Source organism: Homo sapiens, chromosome X (assembly GCF_000001405.40).
Source record: "Homo sapiens chromosome X, GRCh38.p14 Primary Assembly".
NCBI lineage: Eukaryota > Metazoa > Chordata > Mammalia > Primates > Hominidae > Homo > Homo sapiens.
The window spans coordinates 118,108,386-118,118,574 of record NC_000023.11 but is presented as its reverse complement, the minus strand read 5'-3'; the positions used below and the strand labels follow the sequence as shown (position 1 = coordinate 118,118,574).

The 10,189-nt window shown below is 42.2% G+C and overlaps 1 protein-coding gene across 4 annotated transcripts in view; it reads left to right on the top strand.

Moving 5' to 3' along the window:
• Positions 1,235 to 10,189, top strand: part of KLHL13 (kelch like family member 13) — a 219,528-nt gene continuing 210,573 nt past the window's right edge. For 3 of the 4 annotated variants that reach the window (NM_001394866.1, NM_001168303.4, NM_001168302.2), the window contains exon 1: positions 1,765 to 2,067. The gene's annotated coding sequence lies outside the window, so the exon portion shown is untranslated. Of the gene's footprint in view, positions 1,299 to 1,764; positions 2,068 to 10,189 lie in introns of those variants that run through there. The other variant, NM_001168301.2, reaches the window with a different exon arrangement.

Sequence of the window (10,189 nt, the reverse complement as noted above, 5' to 3'; positions counted from 1 at the left end):
AAGGGCTGCTTGGCCCACACTGGATTATCCCATTTTTACTGGCATTTCTGTGGGAGAAACTTATTATAAAGTAACCCCACTTGAACCTTTTTATGGCAGGACAAAGCAGTGACTCGAGTGTACACCAGCTCAGTTTGTACTTATTTTTTTTTTAACCTGTGTGCCAGGTTTTTGATACATGCTAAAAGTGATTGTTTGGAATATATCACCTCAGTGAGATTGTAAACTTCTGTACAAGGTGCTTTCTACCCAATAAGCATTTAGTGTGTAAGGTAGGTATACAATAATTATTGAATAAGCATAGTGGAGAAGCCAGTGGAAGCATTCCTGTTAACAAAGGGGAATTGGGTTCAATACACTTGCACGTAAAAGGTAATAATGCAAATTCTATGTATATTTGGAGTTCTTTGATTATTTGGTAAAGTCCAACAATGTGGTATTATCTTTAGTTCTAGCAAGTTTTTGAGTAGCTGATTATTCTCAAATTTACCTAAAACCTACTACTAGAATTTCAGTGTATGTAAGTTGAAATACAAAGTCAGCAATGTTGAAGATCTCAGATCCCAGAGGGAGAAATCCTAGAAAACATAAAGATTCCACACTCACCGCATCACTTCCTTAAGAAGAAGAAGAAGAAAAAAACAGCCAAAGAAAAAAAATCACAATAGTGATTAAACTGGTTGCTAAGAGCAAACTCCCTTTATTTTCCCAAGGAGGAGTCTGGAATTATAAGTAGAAAGGGCAAAGGAATAGGTGTAAGAAGGTGGCCCCAGGCTGTAACCGTCAAGAAGGCAAAGAATGAATAGAAGACAAGCAAGGGGAAAAACAGGCTTGACTGGGGTTTTTTTTGGGGGCTAGGCTGATAGAGCAGAATCAAGATTCTGACTTAGAAGAGCAGTCCCACCAGAGTTTGGAAGCAGTTTGCATAGTGGTTAAGAGCCTGGGTACCAGAATCACACCGCTTGGGATCCTGAGTCCCGCTCTGCCACTTACTATTTATGTAACCTCTGGCAACTTGGTTAACCTATACACCTCAGTTTTGTCACTTGTAAAATGGAGACAATAGTGTGTAACTTGTAGAGTAGCTGTGAATTAGGTAAGTTGATGCTTCAGTGCTTGGTTCATAGCAGACGCTCAGTAAAATGTTAAACTGTTATTTGTAGTTTTTATCCTTCCTCTTTCTTAATGTTGTGTACTGCAGCAGGGAGGGGGAGGGATGAAGCGCTTATCCCACTAGAAGAGTGATATTTGTGTGAGAGCCTGGGTCAGGCTTATTTTGAGACGTGGGCCCCACTGAGGTGAGGTGGCACCGCTTCCAGGGCACACCCTTTGCTCGGGCCCCGCCGTGACTATGAGGAGGCCGAGGCCACGGCTGGCAGAATGCACGGGTGGACCTCCTTGGAGTGGCTAACCCGGGGCGGCTGCACTGTTGTCCCTGGATACTTGACACTTTTCACTTTTTCTGCCTCCCGGCACTAGAATCCATGTGGGCTCACACCAGAGCCTCCCGGTTTCCGAGGCGTGAGGGCCACTTAGCGGTCATTCAGCTTCAGGGTCCGGCCCTGTCACGCTTTCGCTACAGCCTGGGAGTTCCGTTCGGACCCCACACACCGTCCTAGCCCCGGCTCCCCGCCACCCTGCCTCCCGCGCAGGCGCCGCCGGGGCCACCCCCGCCGCCATGTTTCCCCCGCCCGCGCGCTCCCCCCCCCACTGCCCCCTCCCTCCCCAACTGGGTTCCCGCCCCCCTCCCTCAGCAGCCCCCCCACACCCTGGTGAGGTCAGGCGGAGGCTCTGCCGCTGCGGCCGCAGTAGCTCAGCTCCTATTCCTGGGAAGCCTGGAACGGGGACTTTTGAAAATAACTGCAGCGGCATTCGGGTTAGGGTCCGTGCTCTCCGCCTGCGCCAGGACAGGGTGAAGTGGTCGGGGCGAGCAGAGGGTGCGAAGGTGCGGGTGCTGGTGCCTCGCAGCAGGAGGGAGCCCCGGCTGCGCCGCGCGACTCCCTCTTTGGCCCTCGGAGCGCAGCACCCGGCGGACAAGCGGCGGGACGCCAGGACGCGGCGAGCAAGGTGAGGCAGGGTCCTGAAGTCACAGGGGCTCCAGCAGCCGCTTCCCTGCCTTCGGACCCGGCGCTGCGCGGTGCGCGGCGAGGAGTTGCGATCTGTACCAGGGGCAGAGGAGCAGAGGAGCAGGGAAACAGCTTCATTTTGCCCGCCGCCCCCTCTTTTTCTCCCGCGTGCTGGTGCGCGCCCTCATCCTTACACCTTCGCATCCCTTTCTGCCGGTCCCTCTGGCTCCGTCGGACGCCTGGGTTCTTCTAGGACCCCAGAACCCGGCTTTCCTGTGCTTCTTTGTCATCTCTCCAAGATCTTCTCCTCTGGGCCTCGCTGTTGCTGCCCTGACGGTCTGGGGTCCCGCTGCCCGCCCCGGCCCTACTGTCTCTTGCCCTCTAACAGTTTCTGCTTTGTGCCTCCTAATCCATCTCTCCTTCAGAATCTTCTAACTTAGGAGGCTCCTCTGCTGGCTCCCAAGTCAGGAGCACACTCCTCTTCTTCCTCGAAGCTTTTAACTTAGCTCTGAATGTCTTCAGCTCTGAATATTTTGACTTTTTTGTTTGTTTGTTTGTTTAATTACAGTTGACTAATGATTTTCTTGGAGGCTTATAGTCTAGGCTACAGTTTACTGAAAGTGATGAGATCATTCCTTCACTAAATAGCCTTAGTAAATATCAACTAGGGAACTTTAAAGTTTCTTTCTAGGTTTCATTAACTTAGTCCAAGAACAATAGCCACTTAAAATGTATGTATATATGTTGGTACGCAATCTTCGTACATGGTCCTAAATCTGATTCTTCCCTGGCTGCTGAGCAGGCCTGAGAGAGAGGATTGGTGGGAATTGTGATGCCTGGCTCCATTTCTCTAATTGTAAACTAGGATGTTAATCGTTTTAATGTAGTCAGAGGACTTTAGTGGTTTGGGATAAAGTCGCTCAAGTTAGCATAGGCTGGTAACTAAGCACATTGAATGGAGACTAAGAGACGCTGGGATTTAAAACTGTCTCTGGAGGGCACCTGCTTTCTTTTTTTTGAAGCCACAGTTTCTTAACAGTAGATTTCATGTTTGTATAAACCCTCTAAAAGCAGCATATTTTAAAACCACGTAGTTACAAAAAAGACTACTCACTCTTAGCGATATCGCTTTCTCCCCATGTAGTTGTGGTGTTAGCTCCCATACTGAGGTTCATTTGCTCACTTTCATACTGCAATTAGTGTGTGAAGAAAGCTGAATGGAGAAGCACAAAGTGGAGGCAAATACCAGTGAACAAGCACATGCTGACATACGCAGCTGTGTTTTTGGAAATAGACTGTATCTAGTGTTCAAATTTAAAAACTGAGAAAAATGAAATAATTCAGCATTTATGACATCATTTTACATCTAAAAATATTAGCTCCCTTAACTGCAAGTTCTTATTAATATCCTCATACTTAACGGTAAAAGAGTTGTTTGCCTGATGTATGACCAAGTGTTGCCATTGACACAGTGTGCACTAATTGGCAGCAATCTCAGAAGAAACCAGGTTGTGAATGAAGATAATGGCTAAATTTCACTGTCCTGGTAGCACGTCTTATGGCAGTGAGATGAGAGTAGTTTCTGCTGCAACATCAAATGATGTATTTAAAAAACAGATAAATAAGAGCTTCAATTATTAAAAAGCCCAAGGTTTTCAATCTGCCATTTTTATAAGCACACTTCAAAAAGTGTAGTGTGATTATATAAGGCTCAGTTGATGTTCTGAAGAAAGTAGTTTTCACAAGAAAAGTAAGGCCTATTGCTTATCAATTTAGTTAGATAACTTGCAGATGATTTGTAGTTTCCCAATTGATTTGGTAAATTCCTGAGTTTACTTGAGGTTTATTAAAAAATGGAATGTAGTAGGGAAAGGGTACTTATTCTAATAGGCCCACTTTCTAAGTCTGTAATTTTCTTAGCAAACTATTCTCAAAATACATAAAAACTTACAACTTTTTCAAGGAAAAGAGTTTATACTATTTTCTTACTTTTTTCTTTTCATGCTTATTATTGATACAAAATCTAAGCTAAGATTGCTGCTAATGTGATTGCATAGTAAGACTATTTATATTTGCCAGGAAAAGAATAAAGGTGGATGAGTTAGCCATAAGCATTTTGCTCTGAATCTTCAATATGACTCAATATGTGTTTGATAGTCCATCTGGTACACCTAGAGGTTAGCAGACTGGATATTTCTGATATTACTAAATGTAACTGCACTTACTTATTGGATTATCTTCTTTCTCATTTTATGTACATTTCAAATTATGCTTCTTCATGTAATTTGACTTGCAGTAGTGAAATGAGACTGACCAATTTTCAAATTGTTTGATTTTTATTGATGTTTGATAAACCACTAAAACCTCTTGAAAATATTTTTTTCTTAAATCCACTGATTGAAACCGATGTATTTTTATTGCTATGAAATAATACAACAAATTTCCAGGAATTATTTCAGAAAATGTGGAAAGACTGTAGAGAAATGAATAGCCCTAGAGAAAATATCTCAAAATTATAAAAATGGCTTTCTCAAGTTACTGATATTCATAACAATCAGGTTTTTATGTATCATTCATTCATTTACTAATTCATTTTACAAAATCTACTGGGTACTTGTGTGCCAAGGCCCTGTGTTAGGCACAATGATAAACCTTATAAGGCATGATCTTTGCTCTTGTGGAGTATCACAGTGCTTATATTCTACCAGAGAATACAGACAATAAACGAGCAAACAAATGAAGAAGATCCTTATAGACTGTAGTAAGAGCAATGAAAATAAGTAGGGGAATATGATACAGATAGCTAGGAAGGGCCTACTTTAGTGTGGGAAGTCAGAAAAGGCCTTTCAGAGAAGATGATTGAGCAGAGACCTGAAAGAGAAGAGAGAATAGGCCTACCTTGTCAGGATCTGGGAGAACATTCCCGAGATAACATTCTTGCAGAGAGAAGAGTAAGAGCCAAGGCCTTGAGGGGGGAAAAAGAGACTTGGCGTTTTTGAAGAGCAGAAAGCAAGCCAGCATGGCGGATTAAAGAAGATGTTACAGAGCCTAGAAGCAGCTCAATAACCGATAAATAGGACTTGGAGGTCCTGAGAAAGAATTTGGGTTTGATTCTCAGAACAATAGGAAGCCACTGAAGAGTCTTTCCTGGGGAAGGTCATTGGCTTAAAAAAATTATCCAGGGAAATTTAAAAAAAAATGTTTTGCAGAGGATAAATAGAATGTCTACTCATTCAGTCATTTATATTAATACCTGAGAATAAAAAAAACTCTATGATCAGTATGCTAAATAATCATGTAATTCGGTTCCTCTACTCTGTTTAGGTAAGGGGATGGGGGAATGGGAACCCTGAGGTGAGTATGTTAAAAGGCAGTTTACTTTCCACTGTCACATTGTGACTTGTGCTACAAGGTAAGTTGTCACCAACTTTATTAAAAATCAGATCATTGTTCAACTTAAGAATTTATTTTTCAAAGAATGATATCTTATTTTCTCATGGAAATATGTTTCCTTTGGAAGGTTGGAAATTTTATTTTGTATAAAGGAATAACCTAGGTTTTAGAAAGGGCCTTTGGAATTTTAAGAAGGGCTTATCATTTTCTTTTACCTGTTGCCTCTCCAACATTTTCAAATGGCCATACCTTTATTCCTTGAGAGATTAGGGTTACTGTGTTTCCTGAGGCTTAAATGAATTTATTGCCCTAAGCCCTTCCTTGAAAGCAATCCAGCTTTGAGGTCTAGTTGGTCCCAAATAGGAATGCAGATGATTATTGACATTCCATAGGAGTAAATCCTAATATTGTGGGGGAATAACCTGCAAAATAACCTTCATCAGTGCCTGCAGGGTCAACTTGATTTGATCCCAGCCTACTTTCCCATATGTCCTTATTATTCCCTTTCACAAATCTCTATTGGTTTAAACTGATTTTCCCCAGTTTGGAACTTTTGTGCTTAGCATTATTCCTGGCATAGAGTACGTGCACAGTGGGTGCTTGTCAAATGGATGCCATGCCTTTCTTTTTTGTCATTTCAAATTCCAGGTCCTATTACACTATTCCCCATTGAACTAGATCTCCCCCTCTGAAGGTGAACAGCAGTCACACACTTGCCCTGTTGTGTCATAATTATGCTTATTTGATGCCTGGCCATCTCCCCACTTGCCTCTGGCTTCATGAAGGCGACCTAGACCTCATCCGGTTTGCTCATTGTTGTATTCTGAGCACCCAGCACATGGTATGCACTTTATAAATAGTTATTGAATAATGAATAAATACTGTCTTGTGATGTTTCTCCTATTAATTTTTTGATGTTAGATCATTTAATACTGTTTTACTTTTCACGTGTTTGGTGTTCCGAAGTGGTTTCTGAGAGAGGTTGTAGAGCATACTTGTTAAGAGCTCAAGCTCTGGAGCTAGGCCACCTAGGTTTCAATTCCAGCTAGGAGACTTAATAGTTGTGAGACACTGGGTGAGTCAGTAAACCTCCCTGTACCTCAGTTATCTCATATGTAAAAAAGGGGTAATAGAACTTGCCTCTTATGGTACTTGCAAAGATTACATGAATTAGCTAGGCCCACTTTTTCTTTTCTCTTTTTCTTTTTCTTTTTTTTAGACGGAGTCTCGCTCTCTCACTCTATCGTTCAGGCTGGAGTGCAGTGGCATGATCCCGGCTCACTGCAACCTCCGCCTCCTGGGTTCAAGCGGTTCTCCTACCTCAGCCTCCCGAGTAGCTGGGACTACAGGTGCGTGCCACCACGCCAGGCTAGTTTTTTGTATTTTTAGTAGAGACAGGGTTTCACCATGTTAGCCAGGATGGTCTCGATCTTCTGACCTCGTGATCCACCTGCCTCGGCCTCCCAAAGTGTTGGGATTACAGGCGTGAGCCACTGCTCCCGGCCTAACTTTTTATTTTTAGTGGAGACAGGGTTTCACCATGTTGGCGAGGCTGGTTTCAAACTCTTGACCTCAGGTGATCCACCCACCTCGGGCTCCCAAAGTGCTGGGATTGCAGGCATGAACCACCTCCCCCGGCCTAGGCCCACAATTTGTTTGCAATTTTTAAATTTCTAAAGCTCTGAAAACTGAAAAAGATTTTATTTGGTAACTTAGATGCCAAAACTCATGTGGTGGCAAAACCTGACTTAAACTGACATAGGGTATTTATAGTCTTTATTCTACTTAATGTTGATCTTTATTTTGTTTTGCTATAGAATTACTAATATGTTTATGGGGTTGCACCATAGACCCTAATGGTGTATTACATAACATATGGTATATAAAGTATATTTCCTGTCTAAAGGTCTGGACATTTCTAAATTCAGAAACACATCTGGCACCAAGATTTTTCGATGAGATTGTACACCTTGCAGTAAACTGCTTAAATCAGGGCCTTGCACATAGTATGTTGTTGCTGTGGGTGGTGGAGATTAGGGAGGTAAATAAACTACTTTATCTTTCCCAATAGCTTGCTCATAATAGTTACCATGTAAATATATACTGATTTACTCATGCAATAACTGTAAATAGAGGACTGGCTGTGTGGTTCTCATGTCATAGGAAAATAGATATGGCAGGGTCATGTAATTGAAATGAGCCAAGACTCGTCTGTTAGTACTCTCATCTGGTACCATTCAGAGCAGTTTAGTTTTTGTTTTTCTGTTGTTATTTAAACCAACCTATGCTTCTTTAGCACAAGAGAGTCTTTTGTGGGGGTGGGGGTAAGAAATTCAGTTAAGAACTTATTTAATGTGATTAGACACTTATTTTTTTGCAGTTGTTGAACATTTATTGAACTGCTAATGTGTATAGAAATCTGTATTAAGAGCAAGAGAAGGCCGGGCATGGTGGCTCACGCCTGTAATACCAGCACTTAAGGAGGCCGAGGCGGGCGGATGATAAGGTTAGGAGATCGAGACCATCCTGACCAACATGGTGAAACCCTGTCTCTACTAAAAATACAAAAATGAGCTGGGCGTGGTGACATGTGCCTGTAATCCCAGCTACTTGGGAGGCTGAGGCAGGAGAATCGCTTGAGACAGGGAGTTGGAGGTTTCAGTGAGCCAAGATCGTGCCACTGCACTCCAGCCTGGTGACAGAGCGAGACTCAGTTTCAAAAAAAAAAAAAAAAAAAAGAAAAAGAAATAGAAAAGTAGAAAAGAGAAAGGTAGAAAACAAATGAGACATGATTCCTGACCTTCCTTAGCCCCAGCGCCCTGCATGGTTACATGGGGACATGAGTGTGCGTTACAATTCTTTATTTTCCTCTGTAAACTTGACATCATTAAGATTAAAAACATGCAAAGGAAAACCCAAGAGTTAATTGAAAACTCTTCTTAGCGTCCATGATATGAATTGGGTTTTAATTATCCTAACACAACCCCCCTCAGTATTATCTTTATATAACATCTTGACAGCCTTTTCCTTTCTAACTAAACTAAAACAACATGGATTTTCTTGTTCTTTACCAATACACAATTGGTGTATTTTCTTTTGTTTTTGGTAGAGATGAGGTCTCACTATGTTGCCCAGGCTGGTGTTGAACCCCTGGCCTCAAGTGATCCTCATGCTGTGGCCTCCCAAAGTATTGGGATTACAGGCATGAGCCACTGTACCTGGCCTGTTTTTTTTTCCTTCGGTTTTGTGGGGTTGCCAGTAATTACATGTCTCAAAGGATTTTTTCTGCAGTTTTCTTGCAGTTGAAAACTAGTCCTTGAAACTATTCTGCCAATTCATTCAACAAATACTTATTAAGTGCCTATTATATTCCAAGCATTGTGCTAGTCTAAACAAATAGAATCTCTGTCTAGTGCTCTTTCCATTACTTTGGGTCCTTCAAAGTGGAGCACATGTACTGATTGAGCAGGGTGGTGACAAGGTGGTGCTCCCAGGAGCCACAAAATAAAGCAGCTTGTATTTTCTTGAAGCATCTGTTTTACACAGAGATTTAGGAGAACATTAACTGGTAGCTATTTAAAAATCTTTAAACAAATTCAGATACATTCTGCCTTAGAACGCAATATTCATAGAAAATCTGAGGCAAACCCCAATATTTCAGAGAAAGTCTCTGCTTGCAAGGGCAGCTGTGGTAACCCTGAGATGACCCTTTGGAAAGCACTGAGGTGGTGCTGTACTGCCCGAATCTGTTCTTTTAGTCAAACACCCAAACATTTTCATAGCCGTAAATTCCCATGATGACCTGTGGGAAAGTTAATGGACATAAATGTTTTTCTCTGTTGCGCAATTTCAAGGGTACATGTTGGTTACCCTTGGTCTAATGGTCTAAATCTAAACATGTGTTGAGTTCTTACAGAGTTTTTAATGTTGGTGGGTAATGGCTAAGAGTGACTATGAAGGACCTGCCTAGGGAATGATATTTTCAGAATAGAGGTTATTAGGCCTGACGCAGTGGCTCACTCCTGTTATCCCAACACTTTGGGACGCCTAGGCGGGAGCATTGCTTGAGCCCAGGAGTTCAAGACCATCCTGGGCAACAAAGCGAGACCCTGTCTCTATAAGAACAAAAAAAAATTTAAAAATTAGCTGGGCATGGAGGCACACGCCTATAGTCTCAGCTACTCGAGAGGTTTAGGCAGGAGGATCCCTTGAGCCCAGGAGTTCAAGGTTGCCGTGGGCTACAATCACACCACTGCTCTTCAGTCTGGGTGACGGAGTGAGACCCTGTCTCAAAAAAAAAATCTAAAAAAATTTTTAAAAAAGGCTAGAGGTTATTAGAACACAAGGACCACAAACTTAAAGCAGCACAGTTCATGGTGTCAAAGCTTTGCCTTGTTCTGTGCACACTTGCCTGTCTCACTGATTTGAAGTTCACTTTTGCTAACTTTAAAGCTGCTTTCATTTACAGCATAGTATACAAATTGGTTTGTTAATTGCTGGCCACTGAAATAGTTAATACTAGAAGAAAGTTGTCAAGGATTAAGTGCTTTGAGGTTGATAAAAGGTTTCTACAGTTTGAGATGGTTTTGAAAATAGGCCAGCAGAGCATTGGAGGAATGCCTGTTACAACGTGATGGTTTAATTTGCTCCAGATGAGAAAGATGAAGAAGAAAAAGGCAAGTGAAGAAAGGGGGTGAAAGTAAATGGAGTAAGTCAAACACTAAATCTTT